This window comes from Homo sapiens, chromosome 16, assembly GCF_000001405.40.
Source record: "Homo sapiens chromosome 16, GRCh38.p14 Primary Assembly".
In the NCBI taxonomy this organism is placed as follows: domain Eukaryota; kingdom Metazoa; phylum Chordata; class Mammalia; order Primates; family Hominidae; genus Homo; species Homo sapiens.
In genome coordinates this window covers 23,722,607-23,741,296 of record NC_000016.10, presented here as the reverse complement: position 1 = coordinate 23,741,296, position 18,690 = coordinate 23,722,607, and the positions used below count along the sequence as shown (strand labels likewise).

Below are 18,690 nucleotides of genomic sequence, written 5' to 3'. Positions count from 1 at the left end.
AAGAAAGAAAAAAAAGACGTTTGCATGTTGCACATAATTGTTATATTAATTGTCTGTAATTGGCTGGGAGTGGTGGCTCACGCCTGTAATCCCAACACTTTGGGAAGCTGAGGCAGGCGGATCACTTGAGATCAGGAGTTCAAGACCAGCCTGGCCAACATGGTGAAACCTCGTCTCTACTAAAAATACAAAAATTAGCTGGGCGTGGTGGTGTGCACCTGTAATCCCAGCTATCTGGGAGGCTGAAGCACGAGATTCGCTTAAACCCAGGAGGCAGAGGTTGCAGTGAGCCAAGATCATGCCACTACACCCCAACCTGGGCAACAGAGCAAGATTGTCTCAAAAAAAAAAAAGTGTAATTAATGGGGTGTTGGCCCATATGTCATGTAGCCTAAGGCAATTCACTAAATCTCTCTGAACTTTAGTTTCCTTAACGGTATTGTAAATGGAGGGGAAAAATAGTAGCTGGTACCTAAGAATGTGTTCAGGAGTAAATGACATAAATGCCTGTGATTGGCTTATCACAGCATCTGGTACACAGCATGCACTAAAAAACGAAAGCTGTTACTATGGCTATTGTTTGATACCACTCTGCGTTGGGTTTTTTTTTCTTTTTTTTTTTTTTTTTTTTTTTTTGTGAGACAGAGTCTTGCTCTGTTGCCCAGGCTGGAGTGCAATGGCATGATCTCAACTCACTGCAACCTCCATCTCCTGGGTTCAAACAATTCTCCTGCCTCAGCCTCCTGAGTAGCCAGGACTACAGGTGCACCACCATGCCCCACTAGTTTTTGTATTTTCAGTAGAGATGGGGTTTCACCATGTTGGCCAGGCTGGTCTCTAACTCTTGACCTTAAGTGATCCGCCCACCTTAGCCTCCCAAAGCGCTGGGATTACAGGGGTGAGCCACTTCTCTCAGCCTGCATTGCTTTTTAGTAGTAACCATCATAAAATATAAAATTGGAGAAGAGGATATAAGAGTTAACACATGTCAACATTTTTGTACCTTTAACCAGTAATAAAATTTATTAAAGATTGTTAAAAGTCACTCTCCTTTATATTTCTTTTTCTGTTTGAACATCAGGTTCGTAGAATTGGATTATTCATGATAATGAATACCCTTGGCTCAAGGCATACTCTTATCAGTGTTTCGTGTATGGCCTGCCTTTATGTTGTTAGTTAGCAGTTTTTAATAAGGTATTCAGCATCCGCAAAACCACTCACTAAAAACAAAAGCTAGGAACTTAGCAGTAGCCAACCTCTAACCACATGGTTTCCCCAAGTAGGGAGCCATCGTTCTGAATCCCATATTCATCATTCTCTTGCTTTCCTATTTATGTTTAGTTCATTTTATATGTATTCCTTAGAAGTGCATATTTTAGACCAAGCATGGTGGCTCACACTTGTAATCCCAGCACTTTGGGAGGCCAAAGCAGGAAGATCCCTTAAGTTCAAGGAGTTCAAGAACAGCCCAGGCAACATAGTGAGACCCCATCTATACAAAAAAATCTAAAAATGACCAGGCATGGTGGTGTACCTGTAGTTCCAGTGACTAGGGAGGCTGAGCTGAAAGGATTGCTTGAGTCCTTGAGCCCAGGAGTTCAAGGTTACAGTGAGCTATGTTCACATCACTGCACTCCAGCCTGGGTGACAGAGTGAGTGTCACAGGGTGACTGTCAAAAAAAAAAAAAAAAAAAAAAAAGCACATTCTTATGTTGACTGCTTGTTTGTTTGTTTTTTAAAGACAGAGTCTCGCTCTGTCACTTGAGTGTAGTGGCATGATCTTGGCTTACTGAGGCCTCCCCTCCCAGGTTCAAGCGATTCTCCAGCCTCAGCCTCTCAAGTAACTGGAATTACAAGCATTAGCCACCATGCCCAGATAATTTTTGTATTTTTAGTAGAGACGGGGTTTCACCATGTTGGCCAGGCTCGTTTCGAACTCCTGACCTCAAGTGATCCACCCACCTTGGCCTCCCAAAGTGCTGGGATTACAGGTATGAGCCACCACGCCTGCCCTCTTGGTATTATTTTTTATTGTTGTATTGTTATTTTTTATGAGTTTTTCTCCCGAATATTTTCAATCCAAGGTTGGTTGAAACCACAGATACAGAACCCACAGATATGGAGGGTGGCTATATTCAACTTGAAGAGATAATGCCCAACTGTTTTCCAAAGTATTTATATGATTTTACACTTCCACCAGCAATGTATATGCATGCATTCTATATATTTCTCATCCAAATGCTGGGGATTTGTTGAAGGAAATGAAATACATTATAAAGAACGTATTTTAGTATAAGGATCAGAGGAATTTCATGGAAACCTAGAGCAAGAAGTTCAGCTAACCAGCTACCTGGCACTCTGGCTCTCTCTTGTTCTCTCTCTCTCTGTCTGTCTGTCTTTGGGTGCAGATCATCTCCCTCTCTGCTTCTCTCTTTCTGGGTATTTCTCTTTTTTCTCTGTAAGTCAGTGTCCTCTAAAAGGCTCCCACAGTCCGTCTCCTCCGTAACTTGGACTTGCCCTTGACTTAGTGCCTGGGTGCAGTGGTTCATGCCTGTGAGCCCAGTACTTTGGGAAGCCGAGGCAGGAGAATCCCTCAAGGCTAGGAGTTTGAGAACAGACTGGGCAACAGTGAGATCCCATCTCCTAAAAAAAAACAGAGTTGCCCTTGACTTTGGGTTCCACAGCATCAACTCTGACCCAGATCCTACAGTATCTTACCACTCCAGGGTTCCCAAACCCGCTCGCCATCAATTCAGATTTTAAAGAGAATAGATCTACTTGGCTTAGCTGGGATCAAGTGTCCACGCCTGGTCCAATCAGCGGAGTCCAGGAGTTCAAGACCAGCCTGGCCAACATAGAAAAACCCTGTCTCTACTAAAAATACAAAAAATTAGCTGGATGTGGTGGCACACGCCTATAATCCCAACTACTCAGGAGGCTGAGGCACGAGAATCACTTGAAACCAGAAGCAGTGAGCCGAGATTGCACTAACGCACTCCAGCCTGGGTGATAGAGCAAGACTGTCTCAAAAATAAATAAGTAAACAAATTCATACATACATACATACATATATACATACATACATACATACATACATACATACATAAAACTAAGCATCTAATTTGACTTCAGCCTTAAGAGAAACACAAATTAAAATTACACGGAGATACCATTTTTAATTTCTGAGAATAGAAAAAAGAATTCTGAAGTTGGAAAAATATACTGGTGGTGAGGCTCTCAGGACCTAGGCACTCTCATTTCAGTTTCTCCCTGTAGAGGGTTGTGTTCATTGGTATAACTCCTGCAGAGGTCATGTGGATACTATCCATTAAAATCCCAAATATATTATATGGACTCCTAGACTCAGCAATCCAACTTCTAAGAATTAACCCTACAGAAACACTCGCATGTTTGTAAAATGATATGTGCACAAGGTTATCTGATGCAAAATTGGTTTTTTACCTAGCCAAAAAAAAGAAAAAAAAGGAAACAGAAACCATCCAAGTGTCCATCAGGTTAAATAAAGTACAGTACCATGAAATAAAATGAAGCTGTAAGAAAGAGGGAAGGAGAGAGAAGAAGGAAAGAAGGAAGGAAGGAAGGGAGGGAGGGAGGGAGGGAGGGAGGGATGGAGGGAGGGAGGGAGAGAGGGAGGGAGGGAAGGAGGGAAGGAAGGAAGGAAGGAAGGAAGGAAGGAAGGAAGGAAGGAAGGAAGGAAGGAAGGAAGGAAGGAGGGAAGGAAGGAGGGAAGGAAGGAAGGAAGGATGGAAGGAGGGAAGGAAGGATGGAAGGAAGAAAGGAAGGAAGGAAGGAGAGGAAGGCAAGAAAGAAGGAAGGGAGAAACCTTTCTACAAACTCATATAGGAAGATCTCCAAGATATGTCACATGAAAAAGCTAGTTGTAGAACAATATGCATGATTGTGAATAATATGCTATCTTTTCTGTTAAAAATACAACAGAATGTGGCCAGGAGCAGTGGCTCATGCCTGTATTCCCAGCACTTTGGGAGGCCAGGGCAGGTGGATCACTTGAGGTCAGGAGTTCACGACCAGCCTGGACAACATGGTGAAACCCTGTCTCTACTAAAAATACAAAAATTAGCTGGGTGTGGTGGTGCACACTTGTAATCCCAGCTACTCGGGAGGCTGAGGCAGGAGAATCACTTGAGCATGGGAGGCAAAGGCTACAGTTACCCGAGATCGCACCACTGCACTGCAGCCTGGGTGACACAGTGAGACTCCATCTCAAAAAAATAAAAAACAAAAAAACCAGAGAATACCAAGAAAGTACATATCTATATATACATACATATGTGTATATATTTGCATAAATAAATCCAGAAGATGCCTAAGAAACTTATTTAGGAATGTGGGAGGGCATGGTGCATTTAGATGAATAGGGAGCAACAGTTAGAGAGAGTTCACACTTTGTATGTTTTTATATGGTTAGGTTTGAAACCATGTGAATGTATTACTTACTCAGAAATTAAATTAGGCCAGGCGCGGTGGCTCACGCCTGTAATCCCAGCACTTTAGGAGGTAGAGGCGGGTGAATCACAAGGTCAGGAGATCGAGACCAGCCTGGCCAACATGGTGAAACCCCGTCTCTACTAAAAATACAAAAATTAACTGGGTGTGGTGGTGGGTGCCTGTAATCCCAGCTACTCGGGAGGCTGAGGCAGGAGAATCACTTGAACCTGGGAGGCAGAGGTTGCAATGAGCTGAGATTGTGCCACTGCACTCCAGCCTGGCAACAGAACAAGACTCCATCAAAAAAAAATTAAATTAAAAAAATTCAATCTAATGTAAAAGAAAAAAACTAGTATCCAGGACATAAAGACAAATCTCTATATGCTGGGTGTGGTGGCTCATGTCTGTAATCCCAGGACTTTGGGAGGCTGAGGTGGAAGGATCACTTGGGTCCAGGAGTTTGAGACCAGTGTGGGCAACATAGCAAGACCTCCATCTGTATAAAAAAAAAAAAAAAAAACTTTAAAAATTAGCGGAGCTTGGTGGAACTTGCCTGTTGTCCCAGCTACTTGGGAGGCTGAGGTGGGAGGATTCACTTGAGCCTGGGAGGTCGAGGCTGCAGTGAGCCATGATCACACCAGCCTGGGCAACAGGGCAAGACTGTATCTCAAATTGAAAAAAAAAAAAAATCTACAATTTGAAAGCACAAATATTTTCTACCATTAACAAACAAACAAAATAAAACAGTATTTTTAATAATTAACTCCATCATTATTTCATCCTTAATTTCATCCATAATTAGCTTGAAACTCAAAATAATTATGCCGAGTGAAAGAAGCCAGACAAGAAAATAATCCATAGTGTACAATGCCATTTATACAAAACTCTACAAAATGCAAACTAATTTATAGTGACAGAAAGCGGATTGGTGGTTACTCAGGGATAGAAGAGCAGAAACAGGTGAGGAGTAGTTACAGAGAGGCAAAGAAAACCTTTGGGTCTGATGGGTGTGTTCACTATCTTGATTGTGTCATGGTTTCATAGGTGTGTGTGTGTATGTGTATATATATATCAAAACTTCTCAAATCATGCTCTTTTATATGTGCAATTCATTGTCAATTATGCCTCGATAAAGCATTTTAAGAGTTCATTTTATTTTTTCATTCTTAATTTCAATTTTATTATGTTTTATGATATAACAAATAGGACCAGAATTATGCGTACAACTTATAAATAATTATATATATATATATATATATATATATATATATATATATATATATATATATATATATATATTTGAGGGTGCAGGTTCAAAAATTTCTCACTGAAAGAGGCGTGTAATCACAAATGCGTGGCAACTACTGGTTGAAGCCAGTTTCAAACCCAAATACAGAAGCGAAGCCCACATGTTTAACTGCTACACTCTACTGCCCCCCGCTGGAAGTAGGTTTTGCATTAGGCCTTTAATTGGCTCCTCTGGGTTAATGTCACCAATTTAATGAGGAAAGATTTTCCAAAGATCTACTTAGAACCAAACCCTTCTGAACCACACACACACACACACGCACACACACACACACATAGCAGGAAACAGCCCCAGATCTTTCTGCCACACCAGCCTCGAGAGAGAAGAGAGGAACCATTCAAAGCTGTGAAAGAGAAAAAACAAAAACGAAACCATCAAGCCAGAGTCCAAACTTTCCCTAACACCTTGAATGGCCCCTCAGGAGGCCACGGATGGAAAGGGGTCTTCCCTAGAGGCCAACATTCCTCTTCACACTTTCTCCAGGTAAATAAAAGACTTAACACTAAGCCTCTAGCCAGGCATGGTGGCTGATGCCTGTAATCCCAGCACTTTGGGAGGCCGAGGTGGGAGGATTGCTTGAGCCCAGGAGTTCAAGATCAGCCTGGGCAACATAGCAAGACCTGTCTCTACTAAAAAAACATACGAAAATTAGCCGGCCGTGGTGGTGTGCACCTATAGTCTCAGCTACTCGGGAGGCTGAGGCGGGAGTATGGTTTGAGCCCAGGAGGTCTAGGCTGGAGTGAGGTGTGATCATCCCACTGCACTCCAGCCTGTGGGACAAAGCGAGACCCTGTCTCAAAAAAACAAAGCAAGGCTGAGCACGGTGGCTCACGCCTGTAATCTCAGCACTTTGGGAGGCCAAGGCAGGTGGATCACTTGAGGTCAGGGGTTCAAGACCAGCCTAGCCAACATGGCGAAACCCCGTCTCCACTAAAAATACAAAAATTAGCAAGGCGGGATGGCATGGGCCTGTAATCTCAGCTATGTGGGGGGATGAGGCAAGAGAATCGCCTGAATCCAGGAGGCAGAGATTGCAGTGAGCCAAGACAGCGCCACTGCGCTCCAGCCTGGGCGACAGAACAAGACCCTGTCTCAAAACAAACAAAACAAAAGCCAAACCTCTTGTCAGCCAGAGAGCCAGAGAGCCAGAGTTGCAAGGGAGAATTGCCAGAATAGAACTATTCTGACTGTAGTCTGGAGAGCTACTGTGAGTTCTGACAAAACCCACGGGCAGACCCTTGAGGACCTTACGAGTGTCTCTTTACTGGGTTTTTTTGTTTTGTTTTGTTTTGTTTCGTTTTCAGATGGAGTCTCACTCTGTCGGCCAGGCTGAAGTGCAGTGGCACAATCTTGGCTCAATGCAACCTCCGCCTCCCAGGTTCACGCCAGTCTCCTAACTCAGACTCCCAAGTAGCTGGGATTACAGGTGCCCACCACCACGCCGGGCTAATTTTTGTATTTTTGGTAGTGACGGGGTTTCCCCATGTTGGCCAGGCTGGTCTTGAACTCCTGACCTCAGGTGATCTGCCTGCCTCGGCCTCCCAAAGTGCTGGGATTACAGGTGTGAGCTACTGTGCCCGGCCATCTTTATTGTTGCTTCCAAAGACTTCTAAAGTGAGTGAGCTCATTGCTTCAGTTTCAGCCACACTATGACACACAGCCAAGAACTCACCTCCAATCCAGTTCCCATTTCAAATAATGTTCTATGAGGGGATCCACCCACACCTGGGATCTAGTCTGCAGGATTAGGCAATGCACCCAGGATAATCCCAGAGCCTAAGTAGACAGTTCCATGATCCGAAATAAGCCACCACCCTGCAAATGTTACCACTATTATCATCAGTTTCGTGCTTCCACCGAAATCTAAAACTCACAGCCAAATCATTCCATCCTAAGGAAATGAAAAGAAAAGAAAACAAAACAAAACAAAAACATGTCCAAAGGATTTTCTCTGAAATGCAATATAGCACAGAGGTTAAGAACTTCAGATTTGAAGTCAGATCACCAAGGTTCAAAGTCTGGCTCTTTATTTTATTTATTTATTTATTTTTCTTCTTAGACACAGGGTCTCACCATGTCGCCTAGGCTGGTCTTGAACTACTGGGCTCAGGCAATCCTCCCCCTCGGGCTCCCAAAGTGCTGGGATTACAGGTGTGAGCTACCATGCCTGGCCCTGGTTTTGTTGTTGTTGTTGTTGTTGTTGTTGTTGTTGTTGTTGTTGTTGTTTTTGAGACTGGCCTGCCTGGTTCTATAATTTATTTTTTTGTTTGTTTGCTTGTTTGTTTGTTTGTTTGAGATGGAGTCTTGGCCCTGTCACCAGGCTGGAGTGCAGATGCCCTATCTTGGCTCACTTCAATCTCCGCCTCCCAGGTTCAAGTGATTCTCCTGCCTCAGCCTCCCAAGTAGCTGGGATTACAGGCGCACGACACCACACCCAGCTAATTTTAGTATTTTTAGTAGAGACGGGGTTTCACCGTGTTGGCCAGGATGGTTTTGATCTCCTGACCTCGTGATCTGCCTGCCTCAGCCTCCCAAGTGCTGGGATTACAGGCATAAGCCACCGCACCCTGCACCTGTTTCTATAATTTAGCTTACAAGTTGTGTGTCTAGGGAAAGTTAACTCTAAACTTCTCCGAACCTTTTCTGTGACTCAATTTGGTCATAGATGAAATGGGGATAATAGTAGTAGTTACCTTGTAGGATTGTTGTGAGAAATATATGACACTATGTATGCAAGGCTCTTTGTACAGTGCCTGGCCCATAGGAAACGCCCTGTATCTTTACTGTTATTATTGTTACTGTTATTGTTTTTGTTTTGGGTTTTGGGGCATTTTTCTTTTTTTTGAGACGGTGTCTCACTTTGTCATCTAGGCTGGAGTGCAGTGGCACAATTTCAGCTCACTGCAGCCTCCATCTCCTGGGTTCAAACGATTCTCCCACCTCAGCCTCTCAAGTACCTGGGATTACAGGCATGCACCACCATACCCGGCTAATTTTTGTATTTTTAGTAGCGACAGGGTTTTGCCATATTGGCCAGGCTGGTCTCAACCTCCTGACCTCAGGTGATCCACCCCCTCGGCCTCCCAAAGTGCTGGGATTACAGGCATGAGCCACCACACTTCGCCTGTTATATTATTCTTCTCTACCCTCTGTCATTCTTCGCCATCTCATTTTTTTTTTTTTTTTGAAACAGGGTCTCACTCTGTTGCCCAGGCTGGAGTGCAGTGGTGATCATAGTCCTCACTTCAGTCTTAACCTCCCCAGCTCAAGCAATCCTCCCACCTCAACCTCCTGAGTAGCTGGGACCACAGGTGTGTACCTCCATGCTCAGTCTTTTTTTTTTTTTTTTAGCAGAGATGAGATCTTGCTTTGTTGCCCAGGCTGGTCTTGAACTCCTGGGCTCAAGCGATCCTCCCACCTTGACTTCCCAAAGTGCTGGGATTACAGACATGAGACACTGCACCTGGCCCATCTTGATAGACTGAAAGAGCTCATTCAGATAGGTCGGTGGATCATGTGAGTCCTTCGAGGCCTGTAGAATTGGGTTATTCAGTTCAGCATGTCTCACCTTTCCAAAATTCTAGAAGTCAACAGAACTCACAAGGATATCTCAGGACCAGTTACACACCCCCAAATTTAGAAAATACAAGCAAATATCAGAACCAAAGATGACCATTGCAGCTAGTTAAAATCAAAGCACTGATTCTTTCTTAAAGTAGCATTTCCCAACCCAAGAGCAAGATTCAAGATCTCAAAGTCTAAAATAATGTTGCTATTGTCAGCTAAGGAAAAGTGTATAGATGGAGAGATAGAAGGAAAAAAAAAAAAAGCCAGGCATAGTGGCTCATGCCTGTAATCCCAGCACTTTGGGAGGTGGAGGCGGGCAGATCACTTGAGGTCAGGAGTTAAAGACCAACCTGGCCAACATAGTGAAACCCTGTCTCTACTAAAAATACAAAAATTAACTGGATGTGGTGGTTTGTACCTGTAATCCCAGCTACCGGGGAGGCTGAGGTGGGAGAATCACTTGAACCCAAGAGGCAGAGGTTGCAGTGAGCCAAGATACATACCACTGCACTCCAGCCTGGGTGACAGAGTGAGACTGTCTCAAAAAAAAAAAAAAAAAAAGAGAGAGAGAGAGAGGAGAAACCATGTAGGGTAATAAATATTATTTTTAAAAAAAGAAAAGAGGGAAAGCTTTCTTGCTTTTGGTTTTTCCAAGATGCCAATTGTCCTCATTTCCCCACCTGTGAACTGGGAGAAATCCTCCATCAAGAAGTTAACCCCCTTGTTCTAGGGGAGAGGTGGAGGGATAAGTCTGTTCCCTGGGTGTTGCATCTCCCCACTCAGAGAATAATATTTTATCACACTTAGACTGGTAGTTCTCCAACTCTAGGATGCATCAGAATGGCCTGGAGGATTTGCTAAGGCACAAATGGCTGGTTCCTGACTCAATAGATCTGGGGTGGGACCAGGAATTTGTAATAAGTTCCCAGGCTGTGCACCAGAAACAACTCCCAGCCCTCATTAGCCAGAAGAGAAATGATTTGCAGAAATTTAGCCCACTTGAGATAAAAGCTTATTCTCAAGTACAAGCTCAAGCTCAGGAAGTTGTTTGATGCTCCTAGGTTTTCTTCTCAAAGCCTGGGCATCCAGGACATTTTTTTTATTTTATTTTATTTTATCTTTACTTTTATTTTTTGAGATGGAGTCTCGCTCTGTTGCCCAGGCTCAAGCACAGTGGTGCGATCTCAGCTCACTGCAATCTCCACCTCCTGGGTTCAAGCAATTGTCCCGCCTCAGCCTCCTGAGTAGCTGGGATTACAGGTGCCCGCCACCATGCCAAGCTAATTTTTTTTTTTTTTTGAGACAGAATCTTGCTCTTGTCGCCCAGGCTGGAGTGCAATGGCACGATTTGGCTCACTGCAACCTCTGCCTCCTGAGTTCAAGCAATTCTCCTACCTCAGCCTCCTGAGTAACTGGGATTACAGGCACACGCCACCACACCCAGCTAATTTCTGTATTTTTAGTAGAGACGGGGTTTCTCCATGTTGCCCAGGCTGGTGTCGAACCTCTGACCTCGTGATCCACCCGCCTCGGCCTCTCAAAGTGCTGGGATTACAGGCATGAGTCACTGCACCCAGCCTAATTTTTGTATTTTTAATAGAGATGGGGTTTCGCCATGTTGGCCAGGCTAGTCTCAAACTCCTGACCTCAAGTGATCCATCCACCTTGGCCTCCCAAAGTGCTGGGATTACAGGCATGAGGCACCACATCCCGCCAAACCAGGGTATTTTAGCTTGATTCCTCTGGAAGCAAAGCCTGAGATAGGGCTTCCGATGCATAGGGTTTATTCATTTATTTCTTCTGGAAACAAATATAAGGGAGAAAAGGGAAACAGGGTGAGGCAGGGAGAGAGATGGAGCAAAGATGTGGTCTCAGGAAAAGTCTAGCCTTGGTCTGATCAGTGAGGGTTTGTAGGGCATAGGCTATAGTGCAGAAAGGTTCTTCCTGGAGAACAGGGGCGGGGCTTTTCTGAGGACCACAGGATTGGGTAGCTTCCAGGAGAGGCAGCTTGCATCATCCCAGGGCAATGTTCTGAGGAAGGGAGACGGCTATGGGCTGTAAACAGCCAACACTCACTGCAGCTGGGAAATGGGGGTGGGATCCCACTGTGTCTACTACGCAAGGCAACTTATTTGACTCTGCAGAGATTCTGCTCAATGGGGTGGTTGCTCAGCAAGCTTGAGGCTGAGATGCAAGGTTTTGCTTGTTTTAGTAATTAGGTTTTCTTTTTCTTTTCTTTTGCGGCAAGATCTCTGTCACCCAAGTTGGTGTGCAGTGGTGTGATCACAGCTCACTGCAGCCTCGACTGCCTGGGCTCAAGCAATCCTCCCGCCTTAGCCTCCCGAGTAGGTGAGACCACAGACATGTAGAACCATGGTTTGATTTTTTGTAGAGTGGAGGTCTCACTGTGTTGCCCAGGCTGGTCTCGAATGCCTGGGCTCAAGCAGTCCACCTGCCTCAGCCTCCCAAAGTGCTGGGATTACAGGCATGATCCACTACACCCAGCCAGGTTTTCTTTTCAATGTTTGTATATTTTATTAAGAAAATTAAACAAAAGCATTGTGTATGAAATCCCTCATATTTTTACCATAAGGGCATAAATCCATGTATCCGCTTCTTCATTGGTTTTTAACCTTTTATTTGAGTATCACTTATGATGTACTAGTAGACTTTTAACAACTGGCTCTGCAAGTGTAGCTCTGACATGCATATTTGTTGATATTTTTGTTTACATAAACAACTAGGAAGAGAAAAATGAAAAGAAGATTTTTTTGGAACTTTACTCATTTTTCAATGACAAAAGGAAATTCTTTGTTGAATCAGATAATAGATTTCAAACACAAGGAGAATATTTCCTTGATTTTTTGTCATTAACAGACACAACACTTCTAAAAAATATTTTCGGCCGGGTGCGGTGGCTCATGCCTGTAATCCCAGCACTTTGGGAGGCCGAGGCGGGAGGATCACCTGAGGTCAAGAATTCAAGACCAGCCTGGCCAACATGGTGAAACCCCGTCTCTACTGAAAATACAAAAATTAGCCAGGCGTAATGGTGCATGCCTGTAATTCCAGCTACTCAGGAGGCTGAGGCAGGAGAATCGCTTGAACCCAGGAGGCGGAGGTTGTAGTGAGCCAAGATAGCGCCACTGCACTCCAGCCTGGGAGACAGAGTGAGACCCTGTCTCAAAAAAAAAAAAAAAAAAAAAGTTTAGGGGGTCAACAAAATATAAATCAAGCCCCAACTTGTAGCATCTGCTGACTTCCACGGCAGAAATACTTGCACCATAACTGATTCCAAAATGGTAATGTGATGTCACTGGAATGGAGTTGGGATATGATTCTGTGTAACCCACCATTACATAGTAATAGTATTTCCACCATACAGATACCATAGATAGAAAGAATCCCAAGTGTGCTCAGAAGCAACAGTAAAAGAATTAGAAAATATATTTTGAGTATTTATTACTTTTGTCTTTAATATAATGTATTTAATTGTAAGTGTGTATACGTTAATTGTTAATGATGTCTGGACAGGGTGGCATGCGCCTGTAGTCCCAGCTACTGGACTTGGGAGGCTGAGATGGGAGGATCGTTTGAACCGGGGAGGTGAAGGTTGCAGTAAGACAAGATCGCGCCACTGCACTCCAGTCTGGACGGCAGAATGCAACTGTCTTTAAATCAATCAGTCAATAAAGTGTTCATGCCCCCTGCATCTGTATCAAGAAACATAATGCAGTTAGATCCCCCAGGAGCCTCCCTCAAGCCTCCGCCGAGTTACTACCCTGTTTCTTCCCCACTCTCCCTTCTCCGTGGGTAACCAATACTTGCAACAGCTTGGAACCCTTGGCTTGCTTTTGTCATTCCAATGGAATCATGAGCCTGCAGTTTGAAATGTTACCATTAGAGGCCTCTCGTGAGGCAAAACAGAAATCTGCAGGACTCCGCCTCTGAAACCCAGTCCCGCAGGACTTCTGGCCTTCTTCCGACGTTAAGGAGATGGTTACTCATGCCCGGGGCTGGGAGGAGAAAGTGAAATGACTGAGCTCTGTGCGTGGGTGAGCTCTTGGAGGAGATATGAGGCCACGAGGTTCCCTGGGGGAGATAAAGGGACCAGCTTTGGCCTTAAACCCCAGTGTGGGCCGGGAGCGGTGGCTCATGCCTGTAATCCCAGCACTTTGGGAGGCCGAGGCGGGCGGATCACCTGAGGTCAGGAGTTCAAGACCAGCCTGGCTAACATGGTGAAACCCCGTCTCTACTAAAAATACAAAAAAAGAAAAATTAGTCGGGCGTGGTGGCGGCCATCTGTATCGGGAGGCTGAGGCAGAAGAATCGCTTGAACTTGGGAGGCGGAGGTTGCAGTGAGCCGAGATCGCGCCATTGCACTGCAGCCTGGGCAACAAGAGTGAAACTCCGTCTCAAAAAAACAACAGGCCAGGCGCAGTGGCTCACGCCTGTAATCCCAGCACTTTGGGAGGCCGAGGCGGGCGGATCATGAGGTCAGGAGGTTCAAGACCAGCCCGGCCAACAAGGTAAAACCCCGTCTCTACTAAAAATACAAAAAAAATTGGCCGAGCGTGGTGGCGGGCTCCTGTAATCCCAGCTACTTGGGAGGCTGAGGCAGGAGAATCGCTTGAACCCGGGAGGCGGAGGTTGCAGTGAGCCGAGATCGCGCCATTGCACTACTCCTGTCTGGGCAAAAAGAGCGAAACTCCGTCTCAAAAAAAAAAAAACAAAAAACAAAAAACCCAGTGTGTCGTGCCAGTGCATTAGCATAGCCCAAATGAGCACCAAGGAGTGTTTCTGCCCAGGCAACAGGACCGCTTACCAATGGCTCCTTTATTTGAAGCCTAAACCTTAATCGGCTCATTAGTTCACACCACCATGATCTAGAAGAAGCAAACCATGGGAAAACATCAAGGGGAAAATAGGAGGAAGGAAATAGAACATAGAGATTAAGCTCGCAGACTCAGGAGTCCAACAGACCTAAGTTTGAATCACAGCCGCATCACTTACTAGCTTTGTAAACTTGGACAAATTACTTAACCTCTATGAAACTTAGTTTGCTCATCTGTGAAATGGAGACAAGAAAACCTTCCTTGAAAATTACTTAGCAATTAAGTAAATCACATATGTGCAGCAACAGTGACTCTTTTGAGGAGGATAAAAGGAAGACCCTCATTTTGTTTCCAAAGACATTCCAATCCACTGAATTTATGATGTGCAGAACTGGCAGGGTATGTGAACATGGGAATTAAAACTGCTCCAGGCCAGGAGTGGTGGCTCACGCCTGTAATCCCAACACTTTGGGAGGCTGAGGCAGGAGGATTGCTGATTTCTTGAGGCTGGGAGCTCGAGACCGGCCTGGGCACACTTGAGCCTGGGAGACAGAGAGAGACACTGTCCCCAAAGTTGTTTTTTAAAAAACATTTCTGCATAATAATATAAACAGCTCTTTCATTTGGTCAAGGACATATATGCAAATCAGTGCATACATGCATATCACATAGATACATCCAACTTTATATAAATGGGATACATAATGAGAGTATTTTCTATTTTTTAGTAGCTTTTTTCTTTCTTTTTTGCTGGTTTTATTCCTTCATTAGTATAACACTCCCTCCAGCCTACCACAAAACCCCTGTTAACAAACCAGTATATTACATTCTGTATTTTTCTCCATGCTCATATAAAATAACTTACAAACATATTGCAAAGTTTTACAAAAATAAGTTCCTATAAGGTTGTTTTCTCATCTTGCAATTCTCAATGTGACTCAAAGAAATTCTTCCAAGTCAATGACTGTAACTCTATTTTTTTTTTTTTTTTTGAGACAGGGACTCGCTCTGTCACTCAGGCTGGAGTGCAGTAACACAAACACAGCTCACTGCAGCCTTGACCTCCTGGGCTCAAGCAATCCTCCTGCCTCAGCCTCCCACGTAACTGGGACCACAGATGCATGCCACCACACCTGGCTAATTTTTTAAATTTTTTGTAGAGACAGGGTATCACTGTGTTGCCTAGGCTGGTCTCAAACTCCTGGGCACAAGTAATCCTCTCTCCCCAGCCTCCCAAAGTGTTGGGATTATAGGCATGAGCCACCACGCCCAGCCTCATATATATGTGTGTGTGTGTGTGTGTGTGTGTGTGTGTGTGTGTGTGTGTGTGTATATATATATATATATATATATATATATATATATATATATATATTCTTTTTGAGACAGAATCTCACTCTGTTGCCCAGGCTGGACTGCAGTGGCACGATCTCAGCTCACTGCAACTTCTGCCTCCCAGGTTCAAGCAATTCTCCTGCCTCAGCCTCCCAAGTAGCTGGGATTACAGCCACCAGCCACCATACCTGGCTAATTTTGTATTTTTAGTGGAGACGGGGTTTCACCATATTGGCCAGGCTGGTCTCGAAGTCCTGACCTCAGGTGATCCGCCCACCTTGGCCTCCCAAAGTGCTGGGATTACAGGCATGAGCCACTGAGCCTGGCCTCTAATATATTATTTTTAATAGCTGCATAATACTCCAAATTGCAGATGTTATATAGTTCAGTCAACTATTTCTTATTTATTTATTTATTTAGAGACAGAATCTCACTCTGTTGCCCAGGCTGGAGTGCAGTAGTGCAATCTCGGCTCACTGCAACTTCTGCCTTCCGGGTTCAAGTGATTCTTGCCTCAGCCTCCCAAATAGCTGAGACTACAGGTGTGCGCTACCACACCTGGCTAATTTTGTTTTGATTTTTGTTTTAGTAGCGACAGGGTTTCAGCATGTTGGCCAGGCTGGTCTCGAACTCCTGGCCTCAAGTGATCCATCCACAATGGCCTTTAGTCAGCTATTTCTCAACTGAAGGATACTTTCATTGTTTCCACTTGTTTGTCACTAAGAACAATGCTACAGTAAGCACATTGATATTTCTACCATTATAAACCTGGTGCTTTTATTTTTATCCCCGAGAGTGGGGTTTCCAGGTCAAAGGAGTTATGTATTGGCTGAGGCAGGAGTATTGCTTGAGGCCAGGAGTTCGAGTTTCTTGCCTGGACAATATAGCAAGATCCCCATCTCTACAAAACATTTTTTAAAAAACAAAAACAAAATAACCAAATAAGTCTGTAACAATTTACATTTCCACTAGTACCACGTGTGACTGTGCTCTTCTCTGACTGCAATAGGTTTAGCCTTCTTTTTTGTTTGTTTGGGTTTCCTTTTCTTGTTCTTGTTCTTTTTACTAATTTGTTTATTTTTTTTTAGACAATATCTTGCTCTGTCGTCCGGGCTGGAGTGTAGTGACGCAATCATAGCTCACTGCAACCTTAAACTCCTGGATTCAAGTGATCCTCCTGCTTCAGCCTCCTGTGTAGCTGGGACTACAGGCACACGCCACCAAGCTCGGCTAATTTTTTTCTTCTTTTCTTTATCTTATGGACATTTTCAAACATTTTGAATGCAAACAGAATAGTATGATGAACCTCCAAAAACGCATGGCTCAGCTTCAGCAATTTTCAATATTCTTTTATTCCCGCAGACTTCTTTTTAATTTTTGCAAATTTATGGGCATAAAGTGATATACTTGCTGTTACTTTTTTAATCTTGTTTTTACATTTCTCTGACTGCTAGTGATTTTGAGCACATTTTCACATGTGTGGAATTGATATTATGTAAGAGCCTATTCATAGACTTTGCATATTTTTTGGTTGTTTGTCTTTTTCTTGTCGATTTATAGGAACAGTTTGTATATAATAGATGTTAATCCTTTACTTATCTTCCATGTTGCCAATATTTTTTCTAATCTGATGTTTGTCTATGGTGTCTATTCTAAAGTTTTAAATTTTTATATATATCATGTGTATCATTTTTTCTTAAAGCTTCTATATTTTCTATATTGCATAAGAAATTCCCCACCACCACCACCAAGTGCAATCTGGTAGTTTAGAAAATTGTTTGGCAAAATGTTCTGAAGCAGAACATACACATTTCCCATGACCCAAAAATTTTGCTGCTAAGTATATACCCAACAGAAATGCATAGATATGTTCATGTACAGACATGTACAGCCGGGCACAGTGGCTCCTGCCTGTAATCCCAGCACTTTAGGAGGCTGAAGCAGAAAGATCACTTGAGGCCAGGAGTTTGAGACCAGCCTGGGCAACATAGCGAGACCTCTGTCTCTACAAAACAATAAAATAATTAGCCAGGCATGGTGGTGGCACGCACCTGTAGTCCCAGCTGTTTGGGAAGCTGAGGCAGGAGGATCACTTGAGCCCAGGAGTTGGAGGCTGCAGTGAGCTATGATCGACCTGCCGCACTTCAGCCTGGGTGACAGAATGAGACTTTATCTCTAAAAATAAAATATAAAATAAAATAGTACAAGAATATTCATAGAACTAGTCATAAAAGCCAAAAACTGGTGGGGAAAAAAACTAATGCCCATCAACACTACAATGGTGCAGCCATAAAAAAGAACAAGATCATGTCCTTTGCAGGGACATGGATGGAGCTGGAGGCCATTATCCTTAGCAAACTAACACGGCAACAGAAAACCAAATACTGCATGTTCTCACTTATAAGTGAGAACAGATAGAGGGGAATGACACACACTGGGGCCTTTTGGAGGGTGGAGTATCAGGGGAATCTGCCCCCAACATTTCAACGTAGGTTCTTTCTATTTTCCGTAAGTGTCAGCTGGCTGAGAAATAAAGAGAAAGAGTAGAAAGAGAGGAATTTTACAGCTGGGCCTCCGGGGGTGACATTATGTGTCGGTAGGACCGTGATGCCCACCTGAGCCGCAAAACCAGCAGGTTTTTATTAAGAATTTCAAAAGGGGAGGGGGTGTACAAACAGAGAGTAGGTCACAAAGATCACATGCTTCAAAGGGCAAAAAGGAGAACAAAGATCACATGCTTCTGAGGAAACAAGACAAGGACAAAATCAGAAACTCCTGATAAGGGTCTATGTTCAGCTGTGCACATATTGTCTTGATAAACATCTTAACAGAAAACAGGGTTCGAGAGCAGAGAAGCGGTCTGACCCCAAAATCACCAGGATGGGGTTTTTCCCCACCCTAATAAGCCTGAGGGTACTGCAGGAGACCAGGGCGTATTTCAGTCCTTCTCTCAACCACGTAAGACAGACACTCCCAGAGAGGTCCTTTATAGACCTCCCCCCAGGAATGTATTCCTTCCCCAGGGTATTAATTATTAATATTCCTTACTGGGAAAAGAATTTAGCGATATCTTCCCTACTTGCACATCCATTTATAGCCTCTCTGCAAGAAGAAAAATATGGCTGTATTCTGCCCAACCCCACAAGCAGTCAGACCCTATGGTTGTCTTCTCTT

General features: G+C 44.0%; 1 annotated feature.

Moving 5' to 3' along the window:
• Positions 11,165 to 12,096: an enhancer, noted in NCBI's record as "H3K27ac hESC enhancer chr16:23740522-23741453 (GRCh37/hg19 assembly coordinates)". NCBI's record gives its function as "activates a minimal SCP1, AML or CMV promoter by ChIP-STARR-seq in naive and primed H9 embryonic stem cells {active_cell/tissue: H9 hESC(naive and primed)}" and the evidence as "EXISTENCE:reporter gene assay evidence [ECO:0000049][PMID:30033119]".